The 24,195-nt window shown below is 38.3% G+C and overlaps 2 long non-coding RNA genes across 3 annotated transcripts in view; both read right to left on the reverse strand.

The window, feature by feature from the left end:
- LOC105377700 (uncharacterized) overlaps positions 1–24,195 on the reverse strand; it is a 348,217-nt gene that overhangs the window by 124,453 nt on the left and 199,569 nt on the right. The window lies entirely within an intron of this gene.
- Positions 19,690–20,430, reverse strand: LOC124901125 (uncharacterized). The gene is made up of 2 exons (XR_007059028.1): positions 20,364–20,430; positions 19,690–19,992 (listed from the first exon to the last, which is right to left on the reverse strand). It is a non-coding gene; the product is annotated as an uncharacterized LOC124901125 (long non-coding RNA).

Raw genomic sequence — 24,195 nt, forward strand, 5'->3', positions numbered from 1 at the left:
CTTCCCCAGCCTAGCAAGGCAGGCCAACATTGAAATTCAGGAAATACAGACAACGCCACAAAGATATTCCTCAAGAAGAGCAACTCCAAGACACATAATTGTCAGATTCACCAAAGTTAAAATGAAAGAAATAAATGTTAAGGGCAGCCAGAGAGAAAGATCAGGTTACCAACAAAGGGAAGCCCATCAGACTAACAGCGGATCTCTCGGCAGAAACCCTACAAGCCAGAAGAGAGTGAGGGCCAATATTCAACATTCTTCAAGAAAAGAATTTTTAACTCAGAATTTCATATCCAGCCAAACTAAGCTTCATAAGTGAAGGAGAAATAAAATCCTATACAGACAAAAAAATGCTGAGAGATTTTGTCACCACCAGGCCTGCCTTACAAGAGCTCCTGAAGGAAGCACTAAACATGGAAAGGAACAACCAGTACCAGCCACTGCAAAAACATATCAAATTGTAAAGATCATCAACGCTAGGAAGAAACTGCATCAACTAATGGGCAAAATAACCAGCTAACATCATAATGACAGGATCAAATTCACACATAACAATATTAACCTTAAATGTAAATGGGCTAAATGCTTGAATTAAAAGATACAGATCGGCAAATTGGATAAAGAGTCAAGACTCATCAGTGTGCTGTATTCAGGAGACCCATCTCATGTGCAGAGGCACACATAGGCTCAAAATAAAGGGATGGAGGATAATCTACCAAGCAAATGAAAAACAAAAAAAGCAGAGATTGCAATCCTAGTCTCTGACAAAACAGACTATAAACCAACAAAGATGAAAAGAGACAAAGAAAGCCATTACATAATGGTAAAGGGATCAACTCAAAAAGAAGAGCTAACTAACCTGAGTATATATGCACCCAATACCCAGATTCATAAAGTAAGCCCTTAGTGGCTTACAAAGAGACTTAGACTCCCACACAATAATAATGGGAGGCTTTGACACCCCACTATCAACATTAGACAGATCAACAAGACAGAAAGTTAACAAGGATATCCAAGACTTCAACTCAGCTCTGCACCAAGTGGACCTAATAGACATCTACAGAACTCTCCACCCTAAATCAACAGAATATACATTCTTCTCAGCACCACATCATACTTATTCCAAAATTGACCACATAGTTGGAAGTAAAACACTCCTCAGCAAATGTAAAAGAACAGAAATTATAAAAAACTGTCTCTCAAACCACAGTGCAATCAAACTAGAACTCAGGATTAAGAAAGTCACTCAAAACCACTCAATTACATAGAAACTGAACAACCTGCTCCTGAATGACTACTGGTACATAACAAAATGAAGGCAGAAATAAAGATGTTCTTTGAAACCAATGAGAACAAAGACACAACATACCAACCAGAATCTCTGGGACATATTTAAAGCAGTGTGTAGAGGGAAATTCATAACACTAAATGCCCACAAGAGAAAGCAGGAAAGATGTAAAATTGACACCCTAACTTCACAATTAAAAGAACTAGAGAAGCAAGAGCAAACACATTCAAAAGCTAGCAGAAGGCAAGAAATAACTAAGATCAGAGCAGAACTGAAGGCAATACAGACACAAAAAACCCTTCAAAAAATCAATGAATCCAGGAGCCGGTTTTTGGAAAAGATCAACAAAATTGATAGACCTAGTACTAGCAAGACTAATTAAGAAGAAAAGAGAGAAGAATCAAATAGATGCAATAAAAAATGATAAAGGGGATATGACAACTGATCCCACAGAAATACAAACTACCATCAGAGAATACTATAAACACCTCTATGCAAATAAACTAGAATATCTAGAAGAAATGGATAATTTCCTGGACACATATACCATCTCAAGACTGAACCAGAAAGAAATTGAACCCCTGAATAGACCAATAACAGGCTCTGAAATTGAGGCAATAATTAATAGCCTACCAACCAAAAAAAGTTGAGGACCAAACAGATTCACACCCGAATTCTACCAGTGGTACAAAGAGGAGCTGGTACCATTCCTTCTGAAACTATTCCCATGAATAGAAAAAGAGGGACTCCTCTCTAACTCATTTTATGAGGCCAGCATCATCCTGATACCAAAGCCTGGCAGACACACAACAAAAAAAAAGAGAATTTTAGACCGATATCCCTGATGAACATTGATGCAAAAATCCTCAATACAATACTGGCAAACTGAATCCAACAGCACATCAAAAAGTGTACTGACCATGATCAAATTGGCTTCATCCCTGGGATGCAAGGCTGGTTCAACATACGCTAATCAATAAATGTAATCCATCATATAAACAGAACCAAAGACGAAAACCACTTGATTATCTCAATAGATGCAGAAAAGGCCTTTGACAAAATTCAACAACCCTTCATGCTAAAAACTCTCAATAAAATAGTTATTGATGGGATGTATCTCAAAATAATAAGAGCTATTTATGACAAACCCACAGCCAATATCATACTGAATGGGCAAAAACTGGAAGCATTCCCTTTGAAAACTGGCACAAGACAGGGATGCCCTCTCACACCACTCCTATTCAACATAGTGTTGCAAGTTTTGGCCAGGGCAATCAGGCAGGAGAAAGAAAAAAAGAGTATTAAGTTAGGAAAGGAGGAAGTCAAATTTTCCCTGTTTGCAGATGACATGATTGTATATTTAGAAAACCTCATCATCTCAGCCCAAAATCTCCTTAAGCTGATAAGCAACTTCAGCAAAGTCTCAGGATACAAAATCAATGTGCGAAAATCACAAGCATTCCTATACAACAACAACAGACAAACAAAAAGCCAAACCATGAGTGAACTCCCATTCACAATTGCTTCAAAGAGAATAAAATACCTAGGAATCCAACTTACAAGGGATGTAAAGGACCTCTTCAAGGAGAACTACAAACCACTGCTCAATGAAATAAAAGAGGACACAAACAAATGGAACAACATTCCATGCTCATGGACAGGAAGAATCAATATCATGAAAATGGCCATACTGCCCAAGATAATTTATAGATTTAATGCCATCCCCATCAAGCTACCAATGACTTTCTTCACAGAATTGGAAAAAACTACTTTAAAGTTCATATGGAACCAAAAAAGAGCCTGCATCGCCAAGACAATCCTAAGCCAAAAGAACAAAGCTGGAGGCATCATGCTACCTGACTTCAAACTATACTACAAGGCTACAGTAACTAAAACAGCATGCTACTGGTACCAAAACAGAGATATAGACCAATGGAACAGAACAGAGCCTTCAGAAATAATACCACACATCTACAACCATCTGATATTTGACAAACCTGACTAAAACAAGAAATGGGGAAAGGATTCCCTATTTAATAAATGGTGCTGGGAAAACTGGCTAGCCATACATAGAAAGCTGAAACTGGATCCCTTCCTTACACCTTATGCAAAAATTAATTCAAGATGGACTAAAGACTTAAATATTAGACCTAAAACCATAATAAGCCTAGAAGAAAACCTAGGCAATACCATTCAGGCATAGGCATGGGCAAGGACTTCATGACTAAAACACCAAAGGCAATGACAACAAAAGCCAAAATTGACAAATGGGATCTAATTAAACTAAAGAGCTTCTTCACAGCAAAAGAAACTACCATCAGAGTGAACAGGCAACCTACAGAACGGGTGAAAATTTTTACAATCTACCCATCTGACAAAGAGCTAATATTTAGAATCTACAAATAACGTAAACAAATTTACAAGAAAAACTCAAACAACCCCATCAAAAAGTGGGCAAAGGATATGAAGAGACACTTCTCAAAAGAAGACATTTATGCAGCCAAAAGACACATGAAAATATGCTCATCATCACTGGCCATCAGAGAAATGCAAATCAAAACCACAATGAGATACCATCTCATGCCAGTTAGAATGGTGATCATTAAAAAGTCAGGAAACAACAGGTCCTGGAGAGGATATGGAGAAATAGGAACACTTTTACACTGTTGGTGGGACTGTAAACTAGTTCAACCATTGTGGAAGACAGTGTGGCGATTCCTCAAGTATCTAGAACTAGAAATCCCATTTGACCCAGCCATCCCATTACTGGGTATATACCCAAAGGATTATAAATCATGCTGCTATAAAGACACATGCACACATATGTTTATTGCGGCACTATTCACAATAGCAAAGACTTGGAACCAACCCAAATGTCCATCAATGATAGACTGGATTAAGAAAATGTGGCACATATACACCATGGAATACTATGCAGCTATAAAAAAGGATGAGTTCATGTCCTTTGTAGGGACATGGATGAAGCTGGAAACCATCATTCTGAGCAAACAATTGCAAGGACAGAAAACCAAACACCACATGTTCTCACTCATAGGGGAAATTGAACAATGAGAACACTTGGACACAGGGTGGGGAACATCACACACCAGGGCCTGTCGTGGGGTGGGGGGATGGGGGAGGGATAGCATTAGGAGATATACTTAATGTAAATGATGAGTTAATGGGTGCAGCACACCAACATGACATATATATACCTATGTAACAAACCTGCACGTTGTGCACATGTACCCTAGAACTTAAAGTATTTAAAAAAAAAAAAAAAGAATTGCTTGAACCCAGGAGGCAGAAATTGCCGTCAGCCAAGATCACACCACACTGCACTCCAGCCTAGGCAACAGAGCTAAACCCTGTCTCAAAAGGAAAAAAAAAAAAAAAGAATTGCAGGAAGTAGGGGGAAAAAAGACAGTTCCTAAAATGAACAGATGCAGAACAGATCAAAAAATAAATTAAAAAGTAGCCAACATCCACATATATCCCTTATCACAGCCAACAGGGGAGGTAGGTAGGGAGGGTATATGTGGGGTAATGGAAAGGATGCAAACTTTGGAGGCAGAGTTCTGTCTTTGAAAACTATTTCTACCACCTACAAGCTGTGACTGCCTGAGTCACATTTTTTAGCCTGTTTTCCCATCCACAAAGCAAGTCCTACCATGGAGGGTTATTTCAAGAATCAGATGTCTTCCTTGTAAAGCACCTAGCATGGGGCTTACCATATAGTAGATGGTCAGTAAAAGACAGTTCCTATTACTTGGGTGGAGCAAAAGAGCCAAGATTAATGTTAAATCTCAACCAAAAAGAAGCAGAGAGTTGGAAAGATATTTAAAATATAAGTTTACCCTCTTTAATAGCGAGTAAATAAATGATCATAATTTCTTTAAAATGTTTCAAATTAGAATTAGCATTAACTGGCTGGGCACAGTGGCTCACACCTGTAATCCCAGCACTTTGGGAGGCAGAGGTGAGAAGATCACTTAAGGTCAGGGGTTCAAGACCAGCCTGGCCAACATGGTGAAACCCCGCCTCTACTAAAAATACAAAAATCAGCCAGATGTGGTGGCACATGCTTGTAATCCCATCTACTTGGGAGGCTGAGGCATGAGAATCACTTGAACCCAGGAGGCAGAGGGTGCAGTGAGCTGAAATGGTGCCACTGCACTCCAGCCTGGGCGACAGAGCAAGACTCTGTCTCAAAAAAAAAAAAAAAAAGAATTAGCATTACCTTATAAAAATACATTGTATTTCATATAAGTATATATTTTTTTTCTTTTTGAGATAGGGTATCTCTCTGTCACCCAGGCAAGTGCAGTGGCAAGATCATAGCTTACTGCAACCTCAAACTCCTGGGCTCAGGTGCTCTTCCCCATCCCAGCCCCCCAAGTAGCAAGGACTGTAGGTGCACACCACGACACCCGGTTAATTCTTTTATTTTCTTGTAGAGAAAGGGTCTTCCTGTGTTGCCCAGGTTGGTCTCAAACTCCTGGCCTCGAGTGATCCTCCCACCTCGGTCTCCCAAAGTGCTGGGATTACAGGCATGACCCACTGCACTAGGACTTAATATATTGTTATATGGTGTTTGCTAAAGTATTACATTGGCTCATTTACAAACAAAGCATGTGCTCAGGGTGTGTAGTTGCAATAAATATGTTGGGAATGTTTTCAGTCTCAATATTCACATTGATATTTAATACACTCTGAATAATTAGCACAAATCAAAATAGGCTAAATATGTTTTTAAAATCAGCACTAAGCTCAGGGAAGAGCAAAGCCTTATGGATATGAAGCGGAAGGCTATTTAGTATTTGAAATCCCATTTCTGACACTCACACTAACCCCCCTCTAACCCTGACTGCCAGTGCACTGAATTCTCAGTGCTCCACTAGCTGTGAAAGAGGAAGCTGCTGGGCCCCAATCACCTCCAAAAGATAGTTTGTGTTTGAGAACATGGCATGGAAAAAGAAAAAAAATGATTTCAATTCTTAAATTTCACTCGCCTCTCAGGACAATTTCAGTAAGTGAACACTTAATTAATATGTATCTATCCCTTTTATTATACGCAAAGATTATATAGGTTTTAATGTATAACACCAAATTTATTAAATAGCTATATTTCATAGTTAATGTAGGAATTCAAGTTCACAGAATCACAGAACAATAGAGCCAGAGGTAGCCCTGAAATTGAACTACTCCAATCTCTTTAGTTTACAGATGAGGAGAATCAGGATAGAGTTCATATTTTCTGGCATAAGTACAGAGAAATTTCATTTTACCATCCCACGTAAGCAGGAAATTGTTAAAGGTTTAAAAGTAATTTTCAAAGCAGTATTAGTTCTTTCAACTATAAAGAGACAAAGAATATAAATAAGAAAACAAATATGTAAGAGAAAGCCCTGAACACAGATATACAGATTAGGGTCTAGAAACTGGTTGAAAAGATTCAGAAAAACCATCAACCAGAGATGAACAGGACAGGAGGCGAAAGAGAGCCTCTGAGAATTTTCACTTTATAACTTCTGCATCTCACAAAGATTGCACATGACTATCTCCAGAGTAGAGTTAGATAGACATACCTCAGAGGGAGAACTAAATACTAGAATTACATGAAAAATTTCACCATACTAACCAATGTAAAGTTATTAAACTAGCATTTGATAAGGGAAATGTTAAAGAAAATGTCATCACATCATAGAGCTGTCTTGGGCAACTATGAGCAAGTTCTAAAGAAATAAAAGACAATTACTAGTGGGCAACATGTGCCAAATGCCTAGAAAGCCAACAAATTGTGTTCAATGACAGAAATTTTCAAGAAATCTTAAACAGAACAGCTGCCAAAATGTGACTGGATTGAACAGGGCTTTGGGATGATGGAGAGAGGAGTTCATCAAATCCTCTTCTTAAAAAGCAGTGATAAAACTGAACAAAATTGTCCAACACTAAGATTTCAGGATTCTGGAATAGACCAAAGGTACAATTTCTTTAGAAATGGACGAAAGGCATAAAGCAAAATAAGACACTCAGATTCAATAATAAAGAAAAACTAAACCCTGGATAATAACAGCGGGAATCTGTGGGGTTTTAGCCTGAAGCTGCTCCCTACTTGTCTTTCCCAGCACCCATCAGCTTAGTAGCTCTATAAGGTCAGGGGCAAGCGGTGAAACCAGCAGCTTTATTGCCCAAGGAGGGGATGTCTTAATTTGCAGCAAAGGTCAGAAAAAAAAACCCATGCACCTGGGCACTGTCAGAAACAGCAGCCACAGTGATGTTAAAAGAATAGGGAAGGCCGGGCGCGGTGGCTCACGCCTGTAATCCCAGCACTTTGGGAGGCCGAGACGGGCGGATCACGAGGTCAGGAGATCGAGACCATCCTGGCTAACACGGTGAAACCCCGTCTCTACTAAAAATACAAAAAAATTAGCCGGGCATGGTGGCGCGCGCCTGTAGTCCCAGCTACACGGGAGGCTGAGGCAGGAGAATGGCGTGAACCCGGGAGGCGGAGCTTGCAGTGAGTCGAGATCGCGCCACTGCACTCCAGCCTGGGCGACAGAGCGAAACTCCGCCTCAAAAAAAAAAAAAAAAAAAAAAAGAATAGGGAAAATCAAAGGTCAAAGCTATACTGACTTGATGATCCTGGATGGGTCTAGTAACAAACTGGCAGACTAGCCAGAAATTTAACAGGAAGATGCAGGGAATGAGTGAGACTTGATAAGCAAGTACATATCCCTGGAAATCTGGAAGGCTGTGCGTAAGGCCATGCACCCATGCAGAGGTGAAACAAGCAGGCTGAGCAGAAAGTAAAAGCCAGGGAAGACTTAACAAATTGACTGAATTCTGAATGCATCCCCCAAGCCACAAATATATCTGTTAGTAAACAGTGGAACTGTTACTGGCTTGAGATGATTAAACACGACCTCTGACCAATCACTGGCCCAATACCAAGTTATGCTCACCCAAGGTTACCCCTAGAAAGCCAGATTTAACAAAACGGAAGGAAGGAAGGGAGGAAGAAAGGAAGGAAGGAAGGAAGGAAGGAAGGAAGGAAGGAAGGAAGGAAGGAAGGAAGGAAAGAAAGAAAAAAAAATCACTCGGAAGAGACAGCAGTGTCCACCCAGAGGAAGACAGGCTTCATAGAATTAGCACAGGCAACTTACTAAACAAATAAACAAAATAGCAGCAGCAAAAACCCCCAGCTGGGGAAAGATCAGAATCCAGAGTTGCTACAATACGCCAAAAATGTCCAGTTTTCAATAAGAAAAAAGTGACGTCTGACAAGAAATATGTAATTTTGACTGCTAGTAATAAAAAAACACATCCACTGAAACTGTTTCTAAAAGTTTCCAAATGTTTAACTTAGCAGACAGACTACCAGACAATGATCATAAATATGTTCAAAATACCAAAAGAACCATGTTTATAAGAATTAAAGGAAATTATGATAACAATGACACATTAGAGAATCTCCAAGCAACTAAAATGAATGAATTAATGATAGATAATAGATACACACACACATACATACAGTGAGTGTAAGTATAATTCTTGTCACTTGCAAATATTATACATTGAAATTACATCTAGTAAGCTAAAACAAATTCTATGATTCCTTGATACTCCTTATAGTATGGGATAGTTCAGTCAGTCCTCTACCAATTTCAACTCATGAGTTCAAGATTTGGGAACTGAGCTGAATAAAAGAGACAAGTGAGGCAAGAGGCTTTAAAGAGAAACTAAAAACATAAGTCCCAATATATGGTAATACAATAATAAGATCAATATGACACACAGATACTATATTTTATATTATTTCATATAAATAATGTGTAAGGTAGATGATACTTGGATTAAATCATACATGTTGATGTCTCTTCATCCTATATATTTCCATGAGAGATACCTAATAACCAAAAATAATCATAAAAAACAGTTTCTAAGGGCAGAAAAATTAAATATGCACACTATGTATTTTCCCTTCAGTCATAATCAAGAGACTGATAAACTGTGAAGTTTTTGAAATCATTCTTTTCCCACATCAAGTGCTACAAAAATCCTTTTCCCACAATCACAATAACACTTTACCTTTGTTTTTATTAAGACGAGTAAGTCTTTTTCTTCTTTCTGAAGACTGGCTAACACTGAAGAAAATATGTTTTTCTTATACCCTACATGCATTCAAAGAAAATTATATTTTTTAAAATTTATTGATACTGGTGTAACAACCACAAAACTTAAAATGTTATTATAGTAGGCACTGGGGTGTCTAGAATGCTTGGAAACTACAACCTAATTGGCAGGGTTGTAGATCATAGAGTGTCAATAAGAGCAAAGGTTCCCTGAAAATCACAGAGTGTCAATGAGAAAACGGTTCCCAAACATCAAAAAGCTAGTGAAAACTGTCTCCTCATTAGTAACTTCAGTTGCTTATGGGATATGGGTTGTTATGGAAACTGCAGTAAGAATGAGAAAAAAATTGGGAGACAGAAAAATATTGTCATAATGGGCAGGAGCTCATCTATAAACTCTTTTTTTTTTTTTTTTTTTTTTGAGACAGAGTCTGTCTCTGTTGCCCAGGCTGGAGTGCAGTGGCGGGATCCCAGCTCACTGCAACCTCCATCTCCTGGGTTCAAGCGATTCTCCTTCCTCAGTCCCCCAAGTAGCTATATTACAGGCGCGAGCCACCACAGTCCAACTAATTTTTGTATTTTTAGTAGAGACAGGGTTTCACCATATTAGACAGGCTTGGCTTGAACTTTGGACCTCAAGCAATCTGTCCACTGCGCCTCCCAAAGTACTGAGATTATTACAGGTGTGAGCCACCGCACCTGGGCTTCTATAAACTCTTCATAAAACCTTTCTTCTTTGAGTTATCAGGTGCCAGTTTGATCTCATGTTATCATCAAATTCAAAATGTCTTTCAAGGTTGTAGGAGTGAGTCCGATCTCTAGCTTTACCTTTGTCTCTCCAGAATTCTTAAGAGCCTGAGTTACAGGGTATTGGGGCAAGTTTTATGGTATTAGTAACAGATTGATCTTATTTAACAAGTTTAGGGGATTACAAAGATCTTGCTGTACATGCTAGTACATACATCCCATGTCTCATAAGCCTCTTAATTCTCTACCCAAGGGTGTCTTTTACTATTATAATGAGCATAATAAGTCAGCCCAAAGACACTAATCATGGGTTTCTGCAGTTGCATGAATTTGGGGATTTTCCCTTCTGCTCTTTTACCTCCTTGCTGCAAAGTGTTCAACCATGAGCCCAGAATGCAGTTCATACACTGCAGAGTGGATTGTTATCTCCATTTATTTGGCAGGTTTGCTCCCCTTTAAGAGACACTATGACCACCTTATCTAACCTACTTCAAGAGGAGGCATCTCTCACAGAAACTTTGTATCTCTCAATAAGCGTGTCTCCTCTCATTAAAGGTAAAGAAGTGCAAGCCTCTGTGTTCACTGAGTGTTCATCTAAATTACATCTAGTCTGCATTTTCATGACATCAAAAATGACTTACTTGTTTTTCACTACAGCATATTACCTCCTGGTGTTTTCACCAGGTGTTTTTAGATGTCACTGTTACTGTTACTATCATTTTTGAGTGGCTGTTTTTCAAATCATGAAGGTAGTTGTAAGATAACTACCTTATAAGCCATAGGCATTTGCATTTATTTCAATCTTTTTGGCTACCTAGGAAAAACAATACTTTAGTCCAAAGAGCTTTGAAGTCGATAGACTTAAATAGAAATCTAGACGTTGTCACTAACCAGCTATGAACGAACATTGGGCAATTTCCTTAACCTGAGCCTTTACCCTGAGACTGTTAAGTACAAAATCTTTGACAAAAATTCTGGAAGAAAAAAAAAACTCCATAGATTATAAATAAAATTAAGGCCAAGTATTAAAAAAAAGAAAATTCTGGAAGAACATAGCATGGTTGTGGCCCCAGGACATTTCTTAGAAATCGTACATTTTGAGTAGTGGGAAGATGAAAGTAAAAATAAGCCTTTTTAACAGATTTGCCACTGAAATTATCAATAGTCAGGTACTTTGTAGAACAAGTTTATTACTATGTGGACTTGTTACTTGAGTGACATTCAGGTATCAAAAAGTCACAGAAATGTTATCTCATGGGCACTAAGAGTCATTTTTCATGTGTGTCTGTTTTTAAAGTTTAAACAATTAACAGTACTCAAGTGACAGAGACTCATGAAAGATGACAGTCTATCAGCACTTCTCAACAAGGATTCCAGGAGAGCATTAAGCCCTGATGGCCCAAGACATCCATCATATTTAATGAATTAACCTATCTCCTGTGTATATAGAATATTACTAGCATACCATCCTCGGGAAAACTGAGAAAAGAATAGCCTGATCATGGCTTAATTTCCTCACAGAACACCAGTAAATGAAAGCTGATAGCTACGGGGTTGAAGGACCTAGGATTTAGTCACATTTTCCTGACAAGGCCTGTAAATGCTCTACTCTCTGTCTCAAGGATCATCTTGTTGCCTATGATAGATAATAAACAAGGTCATACATATCTCACTAGTCAATTTTGGGTTTTTACCCAACATTTTATTCTTTAAAAGATTTAGACTAACAGAGTTATTTAGTGTTTCCAGTTGTGTGTTTTATTTAGCAAGTGAGTAAAAATACTGGAATATTGAAGTATTTGCATAAAAAAGGAAACGGTATTGTTTTGTAATCTCTGTTTTATTTCCTACTAAAGTTTTATATGTAAAAAAAAGCCTATGGAGTGTGAATTAGAGACAGACTAGGACAAGGCTATAAAGATACCACAGAATCGTCACAGCTCTAGAGTCAGACACCTACTAGCTATGAAACTTGGGACAACAATTTAATTTTCTGAGTTTTAGTTTACGTGTAAAATGAGTATAAGTAATAACTTCTTCATAAGGCTGATGAAAGGATTAAATGCAAAAAACCTGGTTAAGTGTTTAAATTCAAAAGAAACTCATTAAACAACAGTACATATGATTTATTCTTACTATTACATCTAATTCTCAAAGTCTTCCAGAAGAAAGAACTATCCTGCTTTAAATGCAGCATACCTACCCATCAGAGCCCCAGTGAGTAGGATACCTAGAAGACAGGAATTGGCTTGGAAACGGAGAAAGTAATTGGGAATATCTTTTGGCTTTTCAGTAAGTCAGAGAGTCAAATAATTCAAAGATTTAAAAGGATTAAGAGTCACTGCTCTTATCATCCCTTGCTGGAAAAATAATGTGATTTACTAATACATGAATTTCTAAAATAATGATTCAAATCTAAGTAGAAAAACTGGAGTATATGGGTTTCCAGAGAATGAAGAATTGGATGTTCAAGAAAATTTCATTGGTAATTAGGGAAATGCAAATAAAGTAACAATAAAATATGATTTTTTACACATCGGTCAGTAAAAAGTAAAAATAAGTAATAAATGTCTATATTTGACAAGGGTATGGAGACCAAAACTGTGGAAGTAGAAATTGGTGCAGCCTTTTTAGAGGGTAATTTGGCATCTATTCTATATGTGCATGTCTTTTTACTCAGAATTCCACTTCTATGAATCTACGCTACAGGATTCTGACCTGTTCAAAGATAAACATTCTAAAATATTATTATTTCTTTTTGTAATTAAAATGAAACAAAAATTTTACCAATAGGAAAATATGTATATTAATCATGATTATGCTATGCTACAGATGCAATGCAACCATTTTACATCACAAAACAATTTCTATATGCTGGTTTGGATAGTCATCCCAGATATATCACTAATTGAAAAAGAAAAGAAAAAAATAAAGCAAGTTCCAAAACAATCTTCAGAGTATGATATTATTTATTTATATACATATATGTATATATAGCATTGGGAATCATGTGTGTGCACATGTGTGTACAAATGCACCCTATCCACATGAATGATTTACACACCCTATCCACATGAATGATTTAAATATGTTAAATAGTAGAATGTAAAAATTATTAACTCCCCTTTTATGACCTTCTCTCAATCCCTTCCCTTCTCCAAAGAGAATCACTATCATCTGTCTGGCATATATCTTGCTCTTTCTCTCTCTCCCTCTGTCTCTGTGTGTGTGTGTGTGTGTGTGTGTGTGTGTGTGTGTGCGCGCATGGCATTCCCAATGCTATATCTATAGCATATATATATGCTATATTATAATATATAATATGTATATGCTATACATAAATTGCTTCCACTAAACTGAGAACTCCTTGAGGCCAGAGGCTATAAGTATTTTAATATTCTCTCAATACCAGGCAACTCACACTGATTTAAACACTGATAGTATTAAGTCTGTTTGTTCATGATTTAAATTTGTTTAATTTAAATTGAGGACATTCATGTTGTATATATAAATATTATATATATATGCTAGATTCCCAATGCTATTAGTAATTTTTACACTCTACTATTCCACATATTTAAATTTCCCATCAAACACACATTACTGTTGTGAACAAGTATTTTAAATCACCAAACATGGTGGCCGTTGCCCGTCATCTCAACATTTTAGGAGGCTGAGGCGGGAGGATTGCTTGAGACCAGGAGTTCAAGACCAGCCTGGGTAACATAGAGAGACTCCATCTGTACAAAAAAATAAAATTTTATCCAGGCAGGTTGGTGCATGCCTGTAGCTACTGGGGAGGCTGAGGCAGGAGGAACGCTATAGCCTGGGAAGCCAACGCTGCAGCAAGCCATGATTACACCACTGCACTCCAGCCTGGGCAATAAAGAGAGATTTTATCTGTCTCCAAAAAAACAAAAAGAAGTATTTTAAATAACTGCTAAGGAATTTAATATCTGTCTTTCTCATCTGGTCCAGGAACAGCCCTGGAAGTTTGATCTAATAATCAAAACTTCTTCTTCTAGATTAATCCTCTACTATAAATTAATCAGGTAGCAAAAATAGAGCTAAAGCAAAAAACAATAGATATGTTAGGAGAGTTATAAAAACTACAAAATGAATGTCCTTAATTTAAATTCAACACATTTAAATCGTGAACAAACAGACTTAATACTAGCAGTGTGTAAATCAGTGTGAGTTGCCTGGCATTGAGAGAATATTGAAATACGGATAGCCTCTAGCCTCAAGGAGTTCTCAGTTTAGTGGAAGAAATTTCTGTATAGGCAGACATTTTCAATATCCTGACATAAATTCAGTGCTTAAGGGTACTCTCAAAAGTTTTAAAAACAATAAGAAGGAGTCCCAGAAAGGAAGTCTGGATAATGTTTGCTCCTAGACTCTAAGGATTAATCTCTTTAAGAACTAAGGCTCTTATCCATCTGACTGCAAATAAGCCAAATTGAAATAAATAAACAAATAGGCAATGACTCCTTAATAACTGTCCTATATATTTCAATTTATTGTTTTCCTTAAGAAGTTAAAAAATTAGGTATCTATGCAAATACCATATTATGTTTTAGCTATGAACAAATTAGAAGATTTAGGATTGCATCATTTATTTATTTATTGCTGGATACCCACCAACAATAGCCACAGACAATTACTTAGTCATGTATAATATACAGAGTACCTATGTGTACATCATTTCATTTTATCTTTACAACTTTCGTGTTAGGCAGGAAGAATTTTCCCCGTTGTACACATTAGGAAATAGAGATTCAGAGATATTAAAATAGACTGTTCTTAGCCAGTGCAATTATGCCATAAATGGGGCATTTTTCTCTATCCTGAAGAAGATTCTAGATTTGCAAATACCATATTTAACAATTAGGCAAAATATAACAAAGTGTTCCTGTTTTCTCCACTATTAACTGCAGGACCTTTTTAGACCATGCTGATATGATTACAGTAATTATCATGGTAACAAGAATGGAACATATTGTAAGATAAGGGAAAATATCGACCTAAACTTTCCTTAGAACTCCTAGAAGTGCTCAAAATGGCACCTTACACTTTTCAGATCAGAGTTCTCTTCATGTAATTGCTTTCTCCATCCAAAGCACTTTTAGTAATTTAATTTTTCACGTCCATGACTTAGTTCAGTAAGATACTGCCTCAGCAACGAGACTTTCAGGAAATTCGGCACAAATAGCTTATTTTTAAAAAGGAACTTATTGAAATCATACAACTGAAACTCCAAGAATATGTTTGCTTCAGGTATGTCTTGATCCAGGAGTTTAATAATGACATAAAGACGAAGACTCCCTTCATCTACTGGTTCCACTCTCCCAGAGTGCAAAATGGTTACCAGCAGTTCCAGACCACAGGCTTGCATGTTCAAATCCAGAAGGCAAAGTCCACATATCTTTTTCCTTAGCTGCTCACATAAGTTTTGTTGTGCCTTATTGGCTCTTATTGAGTGACATATTTATTTCTGAACTTTGGAAGAGTTCAGGAAAAAAGTGATACTTTGAATGGTTAGGCCTAAATCTCAAGTCAATCTTTTGAGCTGGGAATAAGTCAATGTCATGCAAAGCACACAAAATAAGGGAAAAAGGAGTGGATCCCAGAGGAAAATTAGTATACCCTTACCAGAGAAAGCTTAATAAATTCTGGATCACTAAAACAAGTCATTTATGACAATTTCTTATAGATCTGATATTAATACTCCAAGTACAATTTTATATTGACTGAAGGCTGATAATTTGTTTTGTGGCATAAAATTAAATAAGGGTAAGGAAAGGTGCTATTGATTAAGTTTCCTGGAGAACAGACTCTGAAATGGAAATTTGCAGGCATGAAGTTCATTAGGAAGTGATTTCAGTATCAACATTTGTAACAGAGTGAAAGAAGAATAAGTGAGCAGTGGGAAAAGTTGAACTCTGAAAAAGTTGGCCGCAGCCAATCCCTTGGAGATCTCTGAAACTAGCCTACTCTTCTAATAGTCTAGTCTTCTACATTGCCCTGAATTGAGGCAAGGGGAACAGGCCCTTACATTCTTGCTTTGTAATTGGATGTAGGTTACTCCTGAAGAGCAAATGTAAACTTGGGTGAGGCAAAGGCCTCCTGCCGAGGGCATTCTGTGGGAGGGTCTCAGCTGTGCCCTCTCAGCAGTTAACGCTTCCAGAAGCTGGTGGAATGAGTGCCTTGATACTGATGTGAGTGTTCTGGGCAGCACTCCACCACATTCTTGGGTCTACCCCTTGTTCCACCCATATCCATCAGTAGTAATTAAGTCCACCTCATCTGGGAATACTTCCTCCAGGATTTGGTCATTCTCTTCCTGGGGACACACACAAGTGAAAGGTTAGTGAGATAAATGACAATCCCTCCACCACTGCAGCTCTTCTCAGTGTCTCAACTGATATTCATCATCTCTTTCCTCTGTTACTAATTCTAGATTTCCCCCACACTCAGCACCTCTGCCAGTCTAAGCCCCAGGATGTAAGCCCCTGCCTACCACAGCTTTTTTATACTACAGTTACTGCACTTGTCGATTGATGATCACAAGTGGGTGGAGGTGTACCAAGAAACACCTAGTGGATCCTCTGGTGTTCACTGGAGGACAACAGTCCTACCCTCTTCTGATGATGAGGGTCAATTTTCACTACTACGTGCCTCCTTTACTTGCCTTCTGACTTCTTGGCACAAAGATTCTAATGTGTTTAAAACCTCAGCCATAAAATTTAATAGGATCCTTTCTGCGTCTCCTGGTGAAAGCACTCTCCCTCTGGGAGTCATAATCTCTAGACCCATACAGCCCAAAGTTGTAGGGATAAGAAAGACAAATTCTGTAATGGAATCATTGAAAGTGATGCGAAACTGGTCAATTCCTTCTACCACTTCTTTGGTTCCCAGACTTATGTAGTCTGGAATATTTATTAGGGATACAGCACATTATAATGGTTATTGATTAAGAACATATAGAATGTTCTGTGCCCTTACTAAGCTGCTCATTTATCACTCTGTCACTCTGGCAGGCCAGTATTTTCTGGATGGTGTGGTACAAGATAGAACAGTGGATATCATAGCTATGTGCTCAAAGTTACACTGTTTGCTGTAAAGTGGATTCCTTTGTCTGATGATGCATTATGTTAAATTCATATCCATGGACCAGATACTTCTAACCCCTTGGAGAGTGGAGCTAGCCTCAGCCCTATGAACAGGAAAACCTATATCATACCCAAAATCAATTCCAATCCCAGTCTACATGAATCTCTTCTCATTCCAGGGTGAGAGGTGTCCAATATAATCAAATGGCTAGTTAGCCTTGAGGAACGGTGTCATATTAAGGGCTCAGCAATTGTCTATTGCTGGCAGGTTACACCTAAATAGTATCATAGCTGGATTAACATAGGTGAGTTGAAGCCCAAGCTGTGGGCTCATGAATAGCCTTCGTCTTTGCCAACATGGCTACTTCCAGCACCAGAGTGGTTAATTTGACATCAGCTATTCAAAGTACAATTGTCTATTTAGTTGTTTAGTGCCACTGCTGCACAGGCTGTTTCTGGTGTATATTCTTATATAAAACAAAGGACTTCTAATTTCAGTCAAGATAAAGTCTGAGACTGAATCTCTACTCCCACCTGAAACAACCAAAAAAAAAAAAAAAAAAGGAACAGAAAAATAGGAGAATACTATACTAAGGCTTTTACACTATTTTCACTATGAATAGAACGGTATAAAAGCACTTAAGTGTTAACCGTGATAACTTAAACGTTTGTATTTTAAATTCTAAATCAACCCCTAAAATAGCAAAGAATTACAGAATCATAAAAAATACAATTAATCCAAATGAAAGCAGAAAAAGGGGGAAATGAAACAAAGAACACATGGGCATATAGAAGATAAATAGCAAGAGAAAAGATTTAAACCTAAGCATATCAATAATCACATTAAATGTAAATGATTTGAAGTCTTCATTAAATGGCAGAGATTGTAAATTAGAGAAAAAAGGAAGATGCAACTATTTGCACCTTACAAGAAATTCACTTTAAATATATAAACAAAAATTGGTTAAAAAGTAAATGGATGAAAAAAGATATGTCTTGCCAACACTAACCAAAAGAAAGTTGATTAGGTATATTAATTTTGGCATCATCTTCAAGTAATGTGTTTTGCTAGCTTTTAATGGGATGGAATGAGCTACTCCTTTTTTTTTTTTTTTTTTTTTTTTTTTTTTTGAGATGGAGTTTTGCTCTTGTTGCCCAGGCTGGAGTGTAATGGCACAATCTCCACTCACCGCAACCTCCGCCTCCCAGGTTCAAGGGATTCTCCCATATGAGCCTCCAGAGTAGCTGGGATTACAGGCATGTGCCACCATGCTCAGCTAGTTTTTGTATTATTAGTAGAGACAGGGTTTTACCAAGTTGGCCAGGCTGGTCTCGAACTCCCGACCTCACATGAACCACCCGCCTCGGCCTCCCAAAGTGCTGCTGGGATTACAGGCGTGAGACACCTCGCCCAACCAGAATGAGCTACTTCTATAGGCCCAGAAGGTTCACGGAAATCAGAAGGGATTTTTGTTTTGTTTTGTTTTGTTTTTGAGACGGAGTCTCACTCTGTCGCCCAGGCTCGAGTGCAATGGCATGATCTCGGCTCATTGCAATCTCTGCCTCACGGGTTTAAACAATTCTCCTGCCTCAGCCTCCCAGCCTGTAGCTGGGAATACAGGCACCCGCCACCATGCCCAGCTAATTTTTGTATTTTTAGTAGAGATGAGGTTTCACCATGTTGGCCAGGCTGGTCTCAAACTCTTGACCTCAAGTGATCCACCCGCCTCAGCCTCCCAAAGTGCTGGGATTACAGGTGTGAGCCACCATGCACAGCCAGAAGTCGGAAGTTTTAAGTTGCAGTTACTTTGACTCAAATGTCCCCAGCCCAAATTCAGCATTCCATTCCTTCTCAACCAAGATTCTTACCTTGAATGGCAGAATTGCTGGCCTTGAGAACTCAAATTCTCTGCTGTCAGGAAGCCCAGTTCAAGTCCTGATATTCAGCACTTCTTTTTCTCTGGCTTTCAGAAATTAGAACTTCTTTATATCTTACTACTGAGGTCCTTTGGCTTTCACAGATAAGTCACTGATCAATCACCCTCAGCCTTTTGTTGTCTTTCTCCACTGTACCAAGGCCACTCAGCAAGAGACATTCAATTCCACAGACCTTATGATTACTATTTCCCCCAAAGCTGTTAAATACCAGAGATATTGAATCTTCTAGTTTATTTCCTTCCACCAGCATCTGATCTTGGTTTACTACCAATGGAAGTTTGAATAACTGGACTGCTACATCATGCCACAGGCTATTTATATTCCACATACCACCAGTAATGGTTGTCCTTATTGCCGGCTGCCTTGCACATAAGCATCTCCAAGATCTCATTTAAGAGTACAACTGTCATTTAGAATTTTCTGATACCAACTGTCCTAGGTCAGGTTTCCTAGTAAACAGGCTCTGAGATTAAGGTTTTCAGGTGGTTTATTAAGAAATACTTTCAAAATAAAATCCAAGAGCAGTGATGGGAAAGATAGAGTACTGGACAAAATGAGAACATGAACTGTGATGCAGTTGTGACAGAGACCTTGGCTGATACCATGGGGTTCTCTGTAGTTGGAATGTCCCAAATAAAAGCAAGAGGGCCAAGCCCTTATGCCCCACATTGGCCTGCCTTTGGATAGGATGTTCCTGAAAAGGAGACATAATCTTGGGCAAGAAGACTTGCCTTTGCTGAAGGTAATTCCTTGTTAGGCAGTCAGCTGTGAGCTGTCAATAAAGTAGAAAATAATTTAAACATGTGTACTGTAAATCTTAATTCAATTTTTTAAATAACAGCTAAGTGAATGAGTGCTTTGATGTTAAATGTAGCAAATGCTAGGGAAAAGGGGAGGACCAGGCAAGAAATTTGGGTAGCACACCATAAATCTACCATAAAAAGCAATATGAAATGAAAGGGGGAAATAACACAGCTAATTTTTTTTTCTCATCTTAGTGTTCCATGAGGTAGATTAGAAGAAAAAGTTCCACTGTTAACTCATTTACTTGGGGGAAGGAAGATGATAAGGAAAAAACAGTTCAGTGGGAATTTTGGGCACCTTTTCCAAAAGATTCTTAAAAAACAGATCTCCTTTACTTACAGTGATCAAATAGTCACAAACATATTATAGATGCACAGTCCTTTTTACTTCTTCAGGTTGACAGGTGGAAACATCAATCTATCAGGGATGGAAAGGAAAAGGCCAAGAGAACAACGAATCTAACTGTTACTAATTTTCAAAACAAACAAGACTATTTGCCAACTGCAGATCTGCTTAATTTTCATCATGAGCCCAACTCTTCTATTTCATTCTCATGGGACCCATCCACATTGGAGAATTTGTCTACTTAATGCAACAAAAATCAATCAAAGTCAATTTTTGTGTAGACAAAAAAAAAAAAAGTCCGAGTTTTTTCAGATAATCTTGTGGGGGATAAGTATTATTGGATCACAACTTTCTTCTGCCTCCCCTTAATTCAAATGCTCTTATAAAGAAGCTCTCTTTTAGAGTTAATATGAGAAAGACGTATCCAAAAGCAAAGAGTTAATATGAGACAGACCTATCTCAAAGCAATCTCCAAACACCAAATGTATCCGTTTTGTTTTCTTGACTAAAACTAGTTTTACTTCAAATGTATTTCAAACATGACTCATCAAGAACTCACCTTATACATTCTCACATGGTACCTGACACAGCCATAAGAAGCTATCCCCATACAACTATCACAGTTTCCAACTACATCTCCAAATTAAGTTTTGTTTTGTTTTATACTGTAAGTTCTAGGGTACATGTGCACAACGTGAAGGTTTGTTACATAGGTATACCTGTGCCATGCTGGTGTGCTGCACTCATTAACCCATCAATTACATTAGGTATTTCTCCTAATGCTATCCCTCCCGCAGCCCCCCTCCACCCCCCGACAGGTCCCAGTATGTGACATTCCCTGCCCTGTGTCCACATGTTCTCATTGTTCAATTCCCACCTATGACTGAAAACATGCGGTGTTTGGTTTTCTGTCCTTGTGATAGTTTGCTCAGAATGATGGTTTCCAGCTTCATCCATGTCCCTGCAAAGGATATGAACTCATCCTTTTTATGGCTGCATAATATTCCATGGTGCATATGTACCACATTTTCTTAATCCAGTCTTTCACTGATGGTTGGTTCCAAGTCTTTGCTATTGTGAATACTGCCACAATAAACATACAGGTGCATGTGTCTTTACAGTAGCATGATTTATAATCCTTTGGGTATATACCCAGTAATGGGACTGCTGGGTCAAATGGTATTTCTAGCTCTAGATCCTTTCACCACACCTTCTTCCACAATGGTTGAACTAGTTTACACTCCCACCAACAGTGTAAAAGCTTCCCTATTTCACCACATCCTCTCCAGCATCTGTTGTTTCCTGACTTTTTTTTTTTTTTTTTTTTTGAGACGGAGTCTCACTCTGTTGCCCAGCCTGGAGGGCAGTGGCGCGATCTTAGCTCGCTGCAAGCCTCACCTCCCAGGTTCATGCCATTCTCCTGCCTCAGCCTCCCGAGTAGCTGGGACTACAGGCACCCGCCACCACACTCAGCTAATTTTTTGTATTTTTAGAGGAGATGGGGTTTCACCGTGTTAGCCAGGATGGTCTCGATCTCCTGACCACGTGATCCACCCGCCTCGGCCTCCCAAAGTGCTGGGATTACAGGCATGAGCCACCACTCTGGGCCTGTTTCCTGACTTTTTAATGATGGCCATTCTAACTGGTGTGAGATGGTATCTCATTGTGGTTTTGATTTGCATTTCTCTGATGACCAATGACGATGAGCATTTTTTCATGTGTCTGTTGGCTGCATAAATGTCTTCTTTTGAGAAGTGTCTGTTCATATCCTTTGCCCACTTTGATGGGGTTGTTTGATTTTTTCTTGTAAATTTGTTTAAGTTCTTTGTATATTCCAAATATTAGCCCTTTGTCAGATGGGTAGATTGCAAAAATTCTCTCCCATTCTGTAGGTTGCCTGTTCATACTGAGGGTAGTTTCTTTTGCTGTGCAGAAGCTCTTTAGTTTAATGAGATCCCATTTGTCTACTTTGGCTTTTGTTGCCATTGCTTTTGCTGTTTTAATCATGAAATCCTTGCCCATACCTATGTCCTGAATGGTATTGTCTAGGTTTTCTTCTAGGGTTTTTATGGTTTTAGGTCTAATCCATCTTGACTTAATTTTTGTATAAGTTGTAAGGAAGGGATCCAGTTTCAGCTTTCTACATATGGCTAGCCAGTTTTCCCGGCACCATATATTACATAGGGAATCCTTTCCCCATTTCTTGTTTTTGTCAGGTTTGTAAAAGATGAAATGGTTGTAGATATGTGATGTTATTTCTGAGGGCTCTGTTCTGTTCCATTGGCCTATATCTCTATTTTGGTACCAGTACCATGCTGTTTTGGTTACTGTAGCCTTGTAGTATGGTTTGAAATCAGGTAGCGTGATGCCTCCAGCTTTGTTCTTTTTGCTTAGGATTGTCTTGGCAATGTGGGCTCTTTTTTGGTTCCATATGAACTTTAAAGTACTTTTTTTTAATTCTGTGAAGAAAGTCATTAGTAGCTTAAAGGGGATGGCATTGAATCTGTAAATTACCTTGGGCAGTATGGCCATTTTCATGATACTGATTCTTCCTAACCATGAGCATGGAATGTTGTTCCATTTGTTTGTGTCCTCTTTTATTTCATTGAGCAGTGGTTTGTAGTTCTCCTTGAAGAGATCCTTCACATCCCTTGTAAGTTGGATTCCTAGGTATTTTATTCTCTTTGTAGCAATTGTGAATGGGAGTTCACTCATGATTTGACTCTCTGTTTGTCTGTTATTGACATATAGGAATGCTTGTGATTTTTCCACATTGATTTTTGTATCCTGAGACCTTGCTGAAGTTGCTTAACCGCTTAAGGAGATTTTGGGTTGAGATGATGGGGTTTTCTAAACATACAATCATGTCATCTGCAAACAGGGAAAATTTGACTTCCTCTTTTCATAATTGAATACCCTTTATTTCTTTCTCTTGCCTGATTTCCCTGGCCAGAACTTCCAACACCATGTTGAATAGGGGTGGTGACAGAGGGCATCCCTGTCTTCTGTCAGTTTTCAAAGGGAATGCTTCCAGTTTTTGCCCATTTGGAATGATATTGGCTGTGGGTTTGTAATAAATAGCTGTCATTATTTTGAGATACATTCCATCAATACCTATTTTATTGAGAGTTTTTAGCATGAAGGGCTGTTGAATTTTGTTGAAGGCCTCTCTGCATCTATTGAGATAATCATGTGGTTTTTGTCTTTCATTCTGTTTAGTGATGGATTACGTTTATTGATTTGCATATGTTGAACCAGACTTGCATCCCAGGGATGAAGCCAACTTGTGCAAAAAGGCTGAAAATTCTAAAAACCAGAGTGCCTCTTCTCCTCCAAAGGATCACAGCTCCTCACCAGCAACAGAACAAAGCTGGATGGAGCTGAGAGAAGTAGGTTTCAGAAGGTCAGTAATAACAAACTTCTCTGAGCTAAAGGAGGATACTCGAACCCATCACAAGGAAGCTAAAAACCTTCAAAAAAGATTAGACAAATAACTAACTAGAATAAACAGTGTAGAGAAGACCTTAAATGACCTGATGGAGCTGAAAACCATGGCAGGAGAGCTACGTGGTGCATGCATAAGCTTAAACAGATGATTTGATCAAGTAGAAGAAAGGGTATCAGTGATTGAAGAACAAATTAATGAAATAAAGTCAGAAGTTTAGAGGAAAAAAAAGAGTGAAAAGAAACGAACAAATCCTCCATGAAATATAGGACTACGTGAAAAGACCAAATCTACATTTGATTGGTGTACCTGAAAGTGATGGGAAGAATGGAACCAAGTTGGAAAACACTCTTCAGGATATTATCCAGGAGAACTTCCCCA

Source organism: Homo sapiens, chromosome 5, assembly GCF_000001405.40.
Source record: "Homo sapiens chromosome 5, GRCh38.p14 Primary Assembly".
Lineage (NCBI taxonomy): Eukaryota > Metazoa > Chordata > Mammalia > Primates > Hominidae > Homo > Homo sapiens.